The 14,886-nt window shown below is 44.7% G+C and overlaps 1 protein-coding gene across 19 annotated transcripts in view; it reads right to left on the bottom strand.

Annotated features, from left to right (window-relative positions):
• Positions 1-14,886, bottom strand: part of SNX29 (sorting nexin 29) — a 597,554-nt gene that overhangs the window by 558,327 nt on the left and 24,341 nt on the right. For all 19 annotated transcript variants that reach the window (XR_001752024.3, NM_032167.5, XM_017023874.2 and 16 more), the window contains exon 3: positions 12,918-12,970. Coding sequence is in view for 18 of the 19 variants with exons in the window: in NM_032167.5 (NP_115543.3) it covers positions 12,918-12,970 (53 nt within the window). In the remaining variant the exon portion in view is untranslated. The remainder of the gene's footprint in view (positions 1-12,917; positions 12,971-14,886) is intronic.

The raw sequence follows: 14,886 nt of genomic DNA, 5'->3' as shown, positions 1-14,886 counted from the left end.
CCTGGGAAGTGGAGGTTGCAGTGAGCCAAGATTGCACCACTGCACTTCAGCCTGGGTGACAGAGCGACATTCTGTCCCAAAAAAAATAAATAAATAAAAAGAATCATTAGAACTATAACTTGGAGGCTGGGCACAGTGGCTCAGGCGCCTGTAATCCTAGCACTTTGGGAGGCCAAGGTGGGCAGATCACGAGGTCAGGAGATCGAGACCATCCTGGCTAACACGGTGAAACCCTATCTCTACTAAAAATACAAAAAGTTAGCCGGGCACGGTGGCGGGCGCGTGTAGTCCCAGCTACTCAGGAGGCTGAGACAGGAGAATGGTGTGAACCCGGGAGGCGGAGCTTGCACTGAGCCAAGATCGCATCACTGCACTCCAGCCTGGGCGACAGAGCAAGACTCCGTCTCGGAAAAAAAAAAAAAAGACCAGGCACGGTGGCTCACGCCTATAATCCCAGCACTTTGGGAGGCTGAGGCGGGCAGATCACGAGGTCAGGAGATCAAGACCATCCTGGCCAACATAGGGAAACTACATCTCTACTAAAATACAAAAATTAGCCAGGCATGGTGGTGCGTGCCTGTAATCCCAGCTACTCCGGACGCTGAGGCAGGAGAATCACTTGAACCAGAGAGTTTCAGTGAGCTGAGATCGCACTACAGCACTCCAATCTGGCGACAGAGTGAGACACCATCTCCAAAAAATATAAAAAATTAAAAAAAAAGAACTATAACTTGGAAATGTTTCAGTGCAGGAGTACCAAGATAAAAAATAAAAATGCACAGCATTATGTATGATTCTATTTTTGTAAAACAATGGCAATAAGGCTACATATATGTGTATATATACATGGCTATTTTATCTGTAAATAATTGTGTACGCATGGAAAAATATAGAACAAATAATTCTTGGTCATTAACATAAGCAACCCAAAGGGAAGGAAAACATACAGGACAGAAAAAACGGGACCCTCCCCCTCTCCCCCAAAAAAAATAGTTGACCAAAAAGTAAAAAGAAAAAAATTCATGCTTTGCAACAGTGATAACTCACAAGGCAGCAGTTTTCAAGGTACCATAAGTGTGAAGGTTTGAGAATAGCAGAAAGGTACATACAAATAATCAAATTAATCTTTGTACAGAGGAACCAGAAAATGGAAAAATAACCTATCTTTAAATGGTAAATCATAATTTCTGATGATTTTCTTTTTCTTTTCTTTTTTTTTTTTTTTTTTGAGACGGAGCTTCATTCTTGTTGCCCAGGCTGGAGTACAATGGCATGATCTCGGCTCACCACAACCTCTGGCTCCCAGGTTCAAGCAATTCTTCTGCCTCAGCCTCCTGAGAAGCTAGGATTACAGGCATGCACCACCACGCCCAACTAATTTTGTATTTTTAGTAGAGACAGGGTTTCTCTATGTTGGTCAGGCGGGTCTCCAACTCCTGACCTCAGGTGATCTGTGCTCCTCGGCCTTCCAAAGTGCTTGGATTACAAGCATGAGCCACCGCGCCCGGCTCTGATAATTTCCAAATGTTACTAATATAAACAATAATTGTCCTCCCTGGTATAGACAGATCTCCAACTCTTGGTCTAGATGCAAATGCTGCCTGGATACTCTTGGCGGATGAGGAATGACAAAATCAGGAACAGGTGCTGGCACTGAGAAGGAATCTGCTGCAGGAGCCAGTAAATCAAAACGGAAAAAGAGAATGGAGAAAAACAAGAGCCCCTGGATGCAGGCGTGAATAAATGAGACACGAGAAATCACATGAAGCCAATAGTCAATGGGATCTCCAAGTCTGGTCAAAGTCCACAGCCTGAGAGAACAAAAAATTCAAACCAAAAGCTTGCTTTAAAAAAATAAAAACTCAGCCAGGCACAGTGGCATGCACCTGGAGTCTCAGCTATTTGGGAGTTTGAGGAGGGAGGATCACTTGAGGCCAGGAGTTCAAAGCCAGCCTGGGCAATATAACAAGACCCGTCTTTAAAAACATTTTCTTAATAAATAAAAATAAAGGCCAGGCACGGTGGCTTATGCCTGTAATCCTAGCACTTTGGGGGGCCGAAGCGGGTAGATTGCCTGAGCTCAGGAGTTCAAGACCAGCCTGGGCAACACGGTGAAACCCATCTCTACTAAAATACAAAACAAAAAAAATTAGCCGGGTATGGCGGCATGTACCTGTAATCCCAGCTACTCGGGAGGCTGAGACAGGAGAATCACTTGAACCTGGGAGGCAGAGGTTGCAGTGAGCCAAGATTATGCCACTGCACTCCAGGCTGGGCAACACAGCGGGACTCCATCACAAAATTAAATACATAAATAATAAATAAATAAAAATAAATAATTTAAAAACCAATATATATTTCTTTTCATTCCTGCTTTCTGGCCAGCAGTGCATGAGACCACCCTTTTCTCCTCTCTCGATATATATATATATATATATATATATATATATATATATATATTTTTTTTTTTTTCCCCCAGTAGAGACAGGGTTTCACTATGTTGGCCAGGCTGGTCTCGAACTCCTGGCCTCAAGCAATCTGTCCCCCACTCAGCCTCCCAAAGTGCTGGGATTACAGGCGTGAACCACCGTGCCTGGCCACTAACAATAATCTTGACTGTTGTTTTGAGGTTTTGTCAGTCTGATGGGTGAAAAGTAGGCAGCTCACTGTTGCTTTAATTTGCATTTCCTTGACTACTAGTGAATTTCGGTGTCTTTATTTTCCTAATATATGTTTGCTGGCTATTTGGCTTTGCTGTTTTATGCAAAGCTTCCATGGTAGAGCCATGACATTATTTCTCAACCTCCACATCTGGGTAATCACTGAATCTCATCAAGGCTCAGTCCCAAACCTCAATCCTTCTGTCTCTTCCCCAGTCCCTGCTTCACTCTGCCCTCCAACCCCGGTTCTCCCAGATTCCATCTCACCCCACCCACCTCCACTCCTCCACCCACCCCAACCCATGCATCCTGGGCAGAAGCTATCTACCTGAAATGCAAATGTGACTTTGTCATTTTCTTTCTTTTTTCCCAATTGGTACCATACTACGCTGTAGGTACACAGTACATGACACGATTTTAGGGAAACCCAGATAAACATTTATGTGTGTCAGGAAAAAATATAACCAGCACCAGACCAGAGTAGACAGTGCCTTGGAATTCCACCTCAAGCCAACCTCTGGCTCAGATGGAACATAGAAATGGCAAAAATGGTGAAAATGGTACACAATGGCCTAAGTTTAAGAAATAATGCCCTGCCAGGCACGGTGGCTCACGCCTGTAATCCCAGCACTTTGGGAGGCCGAGGCGGGCAGATCACGAGGTCAGGAGTTTAAGACCAGCCTGGCCAACATGGTGAAACCTCATCTCCACGAGAAATACAAACATTAGCCAGGCATGGGGGCAGGCGCCTGTAGTCCCAGCTACTCGGGAGGCTGAGGCAGGAGAATCACTTGAACGTGGGAGGCGGAGGTTGCAGTGAGCCAAGACTGCACCACTGTACTCCAGCCTGGACAACAAAAGCAAAACTCTGTCTCAAAAATAAAAAATAAACAAAAGAAATACTGCCCTAACTGATGGCATTCCAATACTTCCCTGTGATAGCAGAGAAGAACCTGCTGACTTTCCAACTGATCTCCCAAACCAAACAACACTCATTCATGCACCCCACCACTTTGCCCCACATCCCTGCACTTTCACATCTGCTATTCCCTCTGCCTAAAATTCCTATCCCACCTATTTGACCGCTAACAACCCTGCTGTCGCCCTATGACAACTAATATTTATTACAGGTCACCATAATTGCCCACAATTTACATGTCCAACTCCCAGATTCAGTTTTGAATTTCTTGAAGACAGCAACCATCTCATCCAATTTGCATCGCCAATGCCAACATAGTACTCTATAAATAAATACCTGTTGAATGAAGGAATTAATGAGGCAATCCCTCCAACCTTCAGTTACTAGTAATTGTCAAAAAACACAGGTATGTCTAGTCATACAAAAAAAAGTTTTGAGTTTATTACGTTTTAACTGGGTGTACCAAGCAAATATTATTACAGCTAATCCTGACTATAACCCTAGCAAGTGAGTATCATTATTATTATCTGATTTTCCAGATGGTGCATGCGAGGTTTAAAGGAGCTAAGTCAGTCCAAAATTACACAGCTGGTAACTGGTGATTTGTGGCTGAAGGAGGCATGAAGGTAAGTATATCTGACACCAAAGCTCACACCCCATGCTCACCACCTCTCTCCACTGTCAGGTTCATGACGAAGATGACGGTGCTAACATAATGTTTATTATGGCCTAGGCAGTATTTCTCAACAACTATCAATATAAGTAAGACAAATATTAATTTAAATTTAGATATAAAAATAGGTTCAGGGCCAGGCATAGTGACTCACGCCTATAATCCCAGCACTTTGGGAGGCCAAGAAGGGTGGATCACCTGAGGTTAGGAGTTTGAGAACAGCCTGGCCAACATGGTTAAACCCCGTCTCTACTAAAAACACAAAAATTAGCTGGGTGTGGTGACACACCCCTAAAATCCCAGCTACTCGGAGGCTGAGGCACAAGAATCGCTAGAACCTGGGAGGCAGAGGTTGCAGTGAGCCAAGATCACGCCACTGCACTCCAGCCTGGGCGACAGAGTGCGATCCTGTCTCAAAAAAAAAAAAATCAGATATAAAAATGGGCTTAGATTTGTTAAACGTCCTGGAGGTTCCCCATTGCTAGAAATAATCTTTTTTCAAAAAAAAAAAAAAAAAAACCCCAAGCAATTCATTTAATCAAGCAGTAAAATAAAAGAGTATGCAATATGGACTGTCTACTACAGAGCCTCAAAGTGGAAATAAAGTACTTGGGGTAAGGGAGGGGGAGAGTCCAATTAATGAACCCCAGGATTTTTGGTCAGGATGACAAGAATCGTAACATCCAGTCAACACCTCAAACTAGTTAGAGGCTGGTAAGAAACTTGTGATGCAGGGAACATAAAAATCACATGACAAACATTCAGAGATATTTAAAAGAGAAAAAAAAGCCTGAAAAAGCCATTCCGTTTCGTAAGTCCTCTGGGGGATACACGTGACAGTTTTCAACTGCATTAAGAATAACATCAGGAACAACAAAGGGCAGCTGGTTTTGGTTTTTAGCTTCCTGAAAAGTCCAAAACTGATTCTAATTCCTCAAAAGGTTAAAAAAAAAAAAATCACCAAAACAAATCATTCTTTTCTGCATGCTTTGAAAGGAGAAGAAATGCTCTCCTATGATTTCTTCTGACAGTCACCTGAAAGTTCATTAAAAAGAGCAATTTCTTGTTTGTTTGTTTGTTTGTTTTGAGACGAGGTCTCACATCGCCCAGGCTAGAGTGCAATGGCGGGTTGATGACTCACTGCAGCCTCGACCTCCTAGGCTCAAGTGATCCTCCCGCTTCAGCCTCTTGAGTAGCTGAGACCACAGGCCTGCACCACCGCACCTGGCTAGCTAATTTTTGGTTTTTTTGTAGACATGGGGTTTCGCCATGTTGGCCAGGCTGGTCTCGAACTCCTGGGATCAAGTGATCCTCCCACCTTGGCCTCTCAAAGGGCTTGAGATTACAAGTGCGGGCCACTGCACCTGGCCATAATTAACAACTTCTAAATGCAGATGAATACCTGAAGCCAACTCACTGCCACCCATATGGCAAAGAGATCCAGTGTGTGAGTGTGTGGTAAATGTCTACCAAGTGTCAAAACACCTTACATATCCTTATAATGAAAATCACAACAGCTAACAATTACTGGAAACTTACTACCTGCCAGGCAATGTTTTAAGGGTTGCACATGAACTGACTCATAACAACCCTCTGAAGTGAATACCATTATACTACCCATTTCAGAGTTGAGGATATTGAGGTGCAAGAAAGAAACTTGCCCAAAATCGCAACACAACCCAGAACTGGCAAACCCAGGATTCAAATGCCAAGCTCCAAAGCCCATGCTGATTCCACTGCCCCCGTTAGCATTCCTGTTCATAATTTGAAGGGAAAACTTCCAGATCACGTCCTCTGATTCCGTATGGGACAAAGACGCCTTGGCGGAACAATCACGTTTCTAGTCTTTGAGGTAACTTCTAGGGCCTACAAAGCTCCTGGGCCATTATTTCTAGAGGGCAAAATATTCCAAAGATATCTTAAAGCTTCTTCACAGGCCAGTCTGACTGAAAGAACATGGAATAATTTCAATGAACCATAAGAACGAGTCTTTGTTCCTAGAGAAAAACAGAGCTAGAAAACACCACCAACAAAGAGAAGCGCGCATTTCAGAGCCCAGCGGCTGCCACCACTTCCTCCTGGGGAGGCTTCTCAGGACTCCATCTGAAGGAAAAAACAAGTCTCGCCTGCATTTCCCCTAATGTCAATACTGTTTTATGTTCCATGTGAAGATGGCAGCATCTCACGGTGTCCGTCTCTCACAAGATCAAATATACATATATATATATACACACACACACACACACACATATATACACACACACATATAAAAATATATATATACATGTATACATATATATATCTCTCACACACATACCCACACACACATACAAAAACATGCTCACACACATCCACCTTGGATTTTGTATTTTGGCAAAATACGGTGCACCATTTAGGCTCCCAAATCCAGCAATGGTCTGCTCTGTCCTGCTAGCACTGTCTCTACTCGAAACATTACTCATCCACCAACACCTTGGCAGCTTTTTTTCGGTGTAAGGATATGTACTATTATTTACTTATTTGTCTTGAATTTGACTCACTTTGTTCAGTTACATACACCTGTTTAAAAATTATTTTAAAATTTAAAAAATGGAAAGCTCCATCACAGTTGTAAATGGTAAACTAGCATCATATGACATAAAAACAGTAGCCTTAAAACTAAACATAGGCCGGGCGCAGTGGCTCATGCCTGTAATCCCACCAGTTTGGGAGGCTGAGGCAGGTGGATCACTTGAGGTCAGGTGTTTAAGACCAGCCTGACCAACATAGTGAAACCCCGTCTCTACTAAAAATACAAAAATTACCCAGGCCTGGAGGCGCGCACCTATAGTCCCAGCTACTAGGGAGGCTGAGTCAAGAGAATCGCTTGAACCCGGGAGGTGGAGGTTGCAGTGAACTGAGATTGCGCCACTGTACTCCAGCCTGTGCGACAGAGCAAGGCTCCATCTCAAGTTAAAAAAGAAAAAAAAAAAAAAAACTAAATACAATTAATGTAATAAATTTTGACTCTCTGCCATGGCCAGAGGACGGCTCTGAGCCTGATATCTGCACACTCTTTTAAAAAAGAGAGGCATACGAAAAACATATTGTTTTTAACTATTTTGAACAAGCTGTCATTTTTGTAAGTCAAAAATGATCCAGGCCGGGTGCGGTGGCTCATGCCTGTAATCCCAGCACTTTGGGAGGCCGAGGCGGGAGGATCACCTGAGGTCGGGAGTTCAGGTCCAGCCTGACCAACATGGAGAAATACTGTCTCTACTAAAAATACAAAATTAGCCAGGCATGGTGGTACACACCTGTAATCCCAGCTACCTGGAAGGCCGAGGCAAGAGAATCGCTTGAACCCAGGAGGCAGAGGTTGCGGTGAGCCAAGATCGCGCCATTGCAGTCCAGCCTGGGCAACAAGAGCGAAACTCCATCTCAAAAAAAGAAAAAAAAATTTCCTTGAAAAAGTAGCGAAAAGCAGGCCAGGCGCAGTGGCTCACGCCTGTAATCCCAGCACTTTGGGAGGCCGAGGCGGGCGGATCACAAGGTCAGGAGATCAAAACTATCCTGGCTAACACGGTGAAACCCCATCTCTACTAAAAATACAAACAAATTAGCTGGGCATGGTGGCGGGCGTCTGTAGTCCCAGCTACATGGGAGGCTGAGGCAGGAGAACAGCGTGAACCTGGGAGGCAGAGCTTGCAGGGAGCCGAGATAGCGCCACTGCACTCCGGCCTGGGTGACAGAGCGAGACTCCATCTCAAAAAAAGAAAGAAAAAGTAGTGAAAAGCTTTAAAAACAAAAGGAGAAAAAGGGCAGATGGCTGGATCAGAGAGCAGGGCATGTGAGGCCTCCAGGCTGTGTTAAGGACGTGGGTCTTTCTCCCAAGAGCAAAGACAAGGCAGCTGGGAGGTTTCAAGGGAGCATGAGGTGAGGGAATCTGCATTCTGCATTCAATGTGGTGGAAGCAGGACAAGAACGAATGGGAAGAGCCTAAGGCTGCAGCGGCCATGCTGTGAGATGCTGGTGATGGGGACCGCGGGCCAGGAGAGGAGTTGGAGGGAAGTGAGTGGATTTGAGCTCAACTCCAGGGCCGGGCCAGCTATCAGCGGTGAGGAAGGGAGGCAACTCATCTATCTTGTCAGTCCTAAGTTATTTTTAAATGTTCGCTGACTTTCCCTCTTGAGATTCAACTTTCTTCTTCTTTTTAATTATTTTTTTGAGAGAGTCTTACTCTCTCACTCAGGCTGCATTGCAACGGTGTGATCTCGGCTTACTGCAACCTCTGCCTCCTGGGTTCAAGCGATTCTCCTGTCTCAGCCTCCCGAGTAGCTGGGATTACAGGTGGGCACCACCACGCCTGGCTAATTTTTGTATTTTTAGTAGAGACGGGGTTTTGCCATGTTGGCCAGGCTGGTCTTGAACTCCTGACCTCAAGTGATTCGCCTGCCTCAGCCTCCCAAAAGGCTGGGATTATAGGCGTGAGCCACTGCATCCAGCCGAGATTCAACTTTCTCACAGAATAGGGACAATGATGTGGCCTTTCCAACATGAAGGTGGTGCCACCTTTACCCAAATACATTTCAAAGGTAAGACCAGGTCTCTGATATTAAGAAGGAATCCCACTGAGGTAGAGGAGAATAATTTTTTTTTTTAAACTCAGCCTCAAAAACCATTTAGTCACTAAATAGCACACAAGGGAGAAAGAACAAGTCATGGAACTCTAGCCGTTCCAAAACGTCTAACGTAGGCTATGGCATTTTGCCTCTCTGAATCTGTTTTCTCATCAGTAAAAAAGGGATAACCCAGGCACAGTGTGGCTCATACCTGTAATACCAACACTTTGGGTGGCCAAGGTGGGAGGATCACTTGAGTCCACAAGTTTGAGACCAGCCTGGGCAACATAGTGAGACCCCATCTCTACAAAAAATACAAAAATTAGCCAGGTATGGTGGCTTGCATCTGTAGTCTTAGCTACTCAGGAGGCTGAGATGGGAAGATCTTGAGCCTGGGAGGTTGAGGCTGATGTGAACCATGATCACACCACTGTACTCCAGGCTGAGCAACAGAGCAAGACCCTGTCTCAAAAAAAAAAAGAAAGGGTAATACTTCTGCTCCTTCTGAGGACTAGGAATCAACATAAATAAAATGTAGCAAAAGTAGTCACAAACTATAACTATTATTATTGCTTTTTTTTTTTTTTTTTTCTGAGACAGTATCGCTCTTGTTGCCCAGGCTGGAACGCAATGGCGCAATCTCGGCTCACCAAAACCTCCGCCTCCTGGGTTCAAGCACTTCTCCTGCCTCAGCCTCCCTGCTTAGCTAGGATTACAGGCATGTGCCACCATGCCTGGCTAATTTTGTATTTTAAGTAGAGACGGGGTTTCTCCACGTTGGTCAGGCTGGTCTCAAACTCCCGACTTCAGGTGATCCTTCCGCCTCAGCCTCCCAAAGTGCTGGGATTACAGGCGTGAGCCACCATGCCTGGCTATTATTATTATTATTATTATTATTATTTTAGAGACAGGGTCTCTGTCTATTGCCCAAGCTAGAATGCAATGGCACGATCATAGCTCACCGCAGCCTTGAACTCCTGGCCTCAAGCAATCCTCCTACCTCAGCCTCCCAAAGCAATGAGATTACAGACATGAGCCACAGCGCCTGGCCTATTATTAGTAATAGTAAGCCACGTACTCCTTTTAGCCATAAACAACAGTTATCACAGAAAGAATTAACTTTTTAAATTCTACTATAAAATAGAACATTTTCTATAACAAAGGTTATGGTAGTAAATTCTATTATATAGGTTCAGTATTCCTTATCCAAAATGCTTAGGATCAGAAATGTTTCGGATTTCAGATTTTTCCTGACTGTGGAATATTTGCATTATATACTTAACAGTTAGGCACGCCTAATCCAAAACTCCAAAATCCAACTGGCTTCCATGAGCATTTCCTTTGAGCATCATGCTGGTACTCAAAAAGTTTTGAATTTTGGAGCATTTTGAATTTCGGGTTTTTGGATGAGGGATACTCCACCCGTGTAAGAATACATTAACCCAACATTCAGAGCAGGATTGCCTCTCTCAGGAAGTGGACAGCATGGTAATGAAGAAAAGTGGTCAAGAAGTCATGGATACTTAGACACACACACGGCACACACACCCATACACACAGACAAACCAACCCGGCCAGGAAGGAGGAGTCTTTCCTAATTACCTTTGCATCCCAGACCCTGGAACAGTGATTGCACTGGAAGCTTTGGTGTCCAGCAGAATCACCTGGGAGTCCTGTTGAAATGCAAATTCTCAGCAAGCTCCTCGGCTTCAGGCATACACACACACACTCATGCACATATACACATCCTGCTCCAGTACAACTAGGACAGGACTTAGACACAGGATCATTAATCAATAAGCCTCCCAGGTGATTCTGATGCAAGCAGACCTTGGATCCCTGTGTGGACCAAGGCCAGGCCCCATAGTAGGCCCTCAAGAAGGACTAAATTGATCAATCAGTCGAATGATCTAATGCCACAAACATATACTGAGAATCTAATGTACGACAGGCACAAAGTGCTTGTGTACAACACTGAGAAGTAAAATTTTAAAAATAAATGGAGAAACACCCTTTCTGCCTTCAAATCTTACAGGCTTCGTGGTGGCACACATATTTAAATGCTTGACTACAGTACAATGTGATACACACGCTCATCCGGATAACAAATTTTTACTGAGCACCTTCTAGATGCTTCTAGGCACTAGAGAAACATCTGTAAACAAGACAGCAAATCATCCCTGCCTGCACAGAGCCGACATTATAGTGACAGGTAATAGGCAAAATTAAAAAGCCGAATGTATATATAGTTTGTTGGATGGTAATACGTGCAATGGAGAAAACCTAAGCAAAGAAGGAATGGATAATAGGGTGCATCATTTTAAATCTGTGCCAGTTTCAAATCATCCACGTGGCTCTATTCCAGGAAGGTCTACATGCTTTCTCATGGCTGTTAAAATTCTACAAAAGAACAAGGGTAGGAAAGGACAGAAAGAGGAACGATGGACACAGGAGGGTGGGCTAGGGTGAGAGGGTGGGGGACATGAACAGTTTCCAGGATGAGATGAACATTGAGCAAGCAAGTTCCCTTCCCTTTCCTTCCCACACAGGAATGTCCCTCCTGCCACCCCAGGGGCTACAGAGCAAGGATCAGCTCTGACTGAGCTCACAACGCATTTGCAGCAAGGACTGGATGCCTATGTGTCTCCTACCTTTACCAAGCCCTATGTGTCTCCTTCCAGCCAATGTTATCAGCTTATGCAATGATGTCAGCCTTTCCTGGGTCGTGAATGTCAATGGCCATTTTTAGGAATTTTTTTTTTTTTTTGAGATGGAATCTTGCTCTGTCGCCCAGGCTAGAGTACAGTGGCGCAATCTCGGCTCACTGCAACCTCTGCCTCCTGGATTTAGGCAATTCTCCTGCCTCAGTCTCCCAAGTAGCTGGGATTACAGGCACCCGCCACCGTGCCTGGCTAATTTTTTGTATTTTTAGTAGAGACGGGGTTTCACCATCTTGGCCAGGCTGGACTCGAACTCCTGACCTCGTGATCCACCCGCCTCAACCTCCCAAAGTGCTGGGATTACAGGCGTGAGCCACTGCGCCCAGCCGAATTTTATTTTTTGAGACACAGTCTCATCCTGTCTCACTCTGTCACCCAGGCTGGAGTACAGTGGCGCGATCTCAGCTCACTGCAACCTCCACCTCCTAAACCCTTAATTTTCCCCAAAATTAGCCTGGGTTCAAGCGATTCTCCTGCCTCAGCCTCCCAAGACCCTGGGACTACAGGTGTGCACCACCACACCCAGCTAATTTTTGTGTTTTCAGTAGAGACGGGGTTTCACCATGTTGGCCAGCCTGGTCTCGAACTCCTGACCTCAAGTGATCCACCTGCCTCAGCCTTGCAAAGTGCTGGGATTATTGGCATGAGCCACCGCACCCGGCCCATTTTTAGGAATTATTTTTGTCATAAAAGGAACAAATGATCACAATAAAAAATGTGAAAAATACTAGAAAGCAATATTCCCAGTATTCTTACCCCTACTGCTACCTCAGGCCACGTTTCGGTGTGTTCTGGCCAGAGGTGCTATCTAACATAGCTAGGACCACTCCATACGCATAGAATTTCGGATCCTGCTCTTGTTATAACATATGCCTTTTTACTATATATGTAATTTTTAAATCACTACCTATGCATTTTTCTGTTGAAAACAAATTCTACATAAACATCATTTTTAATGGCTATATAACATTCCACCCCATTAATGCACTATATTTTATTAACCATTTCCCAAATCTTGGGTATTTAGGCATCCAAGTTCTCATAATTATTAATTACCCTGAAAATAACTTTATATGGAAAGGTATCTCGAATAATTCCCTCAGAATAGATTCCTAGAAAGAGAATTATGGAAAATGTGGAGTGTTGGAGATGAGCAGTCACCGCACAGAGTCCACGGTTGAGTCAAATTTCAGCGCTGCACCTCTTGGCTGCAGAGGCAGAGCCCAGAAGCCAGCCGCCTTCTGCCGCCTTTCCAACCTCGATGGTCAACGGTTTTAGAAGCCGGCCACCTTCTGCCGCCTTTCCAACCTCGATGGTCAACGGTTTTAGAAGTGACATATTTACCTGCTGTCGGAATCCGAGGCAATCTCCTTTCTCCCTCCAAAGCGGATCTGGCACTGCACAGAAAAAGAAGCTGCTGAGATCAGCTGTTGGGATGGGACACTCAAAACGTCATAAAACAGCCTACACAGGGCTTAAGGGTCAGGGAGGGGACACGGGACCAGAAGCTCTGCATGCCAAGTGAGGACGTCCCTGTCCCCTGGGTATCAGCACAAGACTTAAGAAGGTGCGCACCCCAGCCTTGAAGCTGCCACTTAAAGGAAACCCTTATCTCCCACTTGTACAGAAGCAAGCCTTGTGGGAAAACATTGCTAACAGAAAAACAAAAGCACACAGCCATCTGTGCATTATCCAGGAAGCTGCTCCTGCCTGTCGGCAGCTGACTGTCTACCACACACAGCTCTTCACGGGCGATAATTACAACTTCTATAAGCCTGTGCTGAATGGATCCCTTTGGACGAGCCCCAGAGTTGTCATGACTGGCTATGACGTTACAACAGCACAAATCAAGCCTCATATGAGTCATCTGGTTGTGCGGAATGACAATTTACTGAGGGTGGGAAAAATAGAAGCAGGCTACTCCTTTTTTTTTTTTTTTTTGAGATGGAGTTTCACTCTTGTTGCCCAGGCTGGAGTGTAATATCGATCTCAGCTCACCACAACCTCTGCCTCCCGGGTTCAAGCCATTCTCCTGCCTCAGATACCCAAGTAGCTGGGATTACAGGCATGTGCCACTATGCCCGGCTAATTTTTGTATTCTTAGTAGAGATGGGGTTTCTCTATGTTGGTCAGGCTGGTCTTGAACTCCCGACCTCAGGTGATCCGACCGCCTTGGCCTCCCAAAGTGCTGGGATTACAGGCGTGAGCCAATGCGCCCGGCCCTGCAGGCTACTTTTTGAATTAGTAAAATTAAAATATAGATAACATAAACATTGCCATTTTAACCATCTTTAGGTGTAAATTTCAATTCACAATGTTAAGCAATCATCACCATTATCCACTATTCTAATTTTCTTTAAAAAAAAAAAAAATAGGGTCTCTCTCTGTCACCGAGGCTGAAGGGGAGTGATGCCATCATAGCTCATGGTAATCTCGAATACCTAGGCTCAAGCAATTCTCCCACCTCAGTCTCCCAAGTAGCTGGGATTACAGGAACGTGCCACCAGGTCCAACTGATATTTTTTATTTTTTGTAGAGACAGGGGTCTCACTATGTTGCCCAGGCTGGTCTCACACCCCTGGCCTCAAGATATCCTCCTGCCCCAACCTCTCAAAGCACTGGGATTACAGGTGTGAGCCACCGTGCCTGGCCTACTTGTCTTTTCTTTTAAAGGTATAGTATCTCTGCTATGGGTAGCACGCTTGCAGGGTTCCTAAACTTATTATCAAAACTACTACAATGTGTGTGTGTGTATCTGTGTGTGTGTATGTGTATATGTGTGTGTGTATATACATATAATTTTAAATGACATATTTGTCAAAACACATGAAACTGTACACTTAAATGGCTATATTTTATTATATGTAAATTATACATCAATAAAGTTTATTTTTGAAAGTCATGCAAAAAAAGTCATATGCAACACTTTAACCGTCAAAATAACAATAATAATAATAATGATAATAATAACAGCAGGCTAGGCGCGGTGGCTCACGTCTGTAATCCCAGCAGTTAGGACGGCCGAGTTGGGCGGATCACCCGAGGTCAGGAGTTCGAGACCAGCCTGGCCAACATGGTGAAACCCCACCTCTACTAAAAAATACAAAAATTAGCCGGGTGTGATGGCACGGACCTGTAGTCCCAGCTACTCATGAGGCTGAGGCAGCAGAATCACTTGAGCCCAGGAGACAGAGGTTGCAGTGAGCTGAGACTGCACCACTGTACTCCAGCCCGGGCGACAGAGCTAGACTCCATCTAAAAAAAAACAGCAGCAGCTCTGGGCATAAGCTCCACTTTATTTCTCTCTAACTGC

This window comes from Homo sapiens, chromosome 16 (assembly GCF_000001405.40).
Source record: "Homo sapiens chromosome 16, GRCh38.p14 Primary Assembly".
Taxonomy (NCBI): Eukaryota; Metazoa; Chordata; class Mammalia; order Primates; family Hominidae; genus Homo; species Homo sapiens.
This window is presented reverse-complemented; position numbering and strand designations above follow the sequence as displayed.